The sequence below is a fragment of the Homo sapiens genome, chromosome 15 (genome assembly GCF_000001405.40).
Source record: "Homo sapiens chromosome 15, GRCh38.p14 Primary Assembly".
NCBI classification, from domain to species: domain Eukaryota; kingdom Metazoa; phylum Chordata; class Mammalia; order Primates; family Hominidae; genus Homo; species Homo sapiens.
Window position 1 is genome coordinate 95,839,172 of NC_000015.10, and position 609 is coordinate 95,839,780.

Consider the following 609-nt stretch of genomic DNA (forward strand, 5'->3'; position numbering starts at 1 on the left):
ATAAAAAAGGGAACTCAGAAGGTTATTGCAGTAGTATAGGCACAAAAATCTGAGAACTTTTATTAAATGGGGCAACAAAAATAGAAAGGATAGAATCAGGTCATAGATGGAAGAAAGAGTCAATGGGATTGAATCATTGTTAACACATAGGAAGCAAGAGAGAGAAGAAAAAATTCAGAAGCAAGGCTCAATTTCTGAGTTTAGACAACAAAGACAATGAGAATAATACATATTGGAAATGAAACAGAAAGCAGAGCCCCTCTCCACCCTTGCTTTTGTTTCTAATCAGTGACAGGAACTGAGTTTCAGATATGTTAAGTTTGAGGTTTGCAGGATGTCAAAGTAGACGTGTTTACTAAGTTATTATCATGTGAGGTTGGATCAGTGAGGAAAAAACAACTAGAGAACGAGAAACAACAACTAGCTCCCTAATTCAACTGAACTTTGTCTGCATAAAGTTGGCATCAAGGTGCATAGATAATCATAAGCTCTTAGCAGAAGTCTCTTGGTGCCAGCATCAGTGAAGAGAGGAACAAAACCAATCCAGCCACTCTTTTTCTGATGATGCATCTACACCCTTGGTTCTACTTGGTTTCTCTGCACAGAGGG

General features: G+C 38.3%; 1 annotated feature.

The window, feature by feature from the left end:
- Positions 259–318: an enhancer, noted in NCBI's record as "active region_10137". NCBI's record gives its function as "activates an Ori minimal core promoter by ATAC-STARR-seq in GM12878 lymphoblastoid cells {active_cell/tissue: GM12878}" and the evidence as "EXISTENCE:reporter gene assay evidence [ECO:0000049][PMID:35858748]".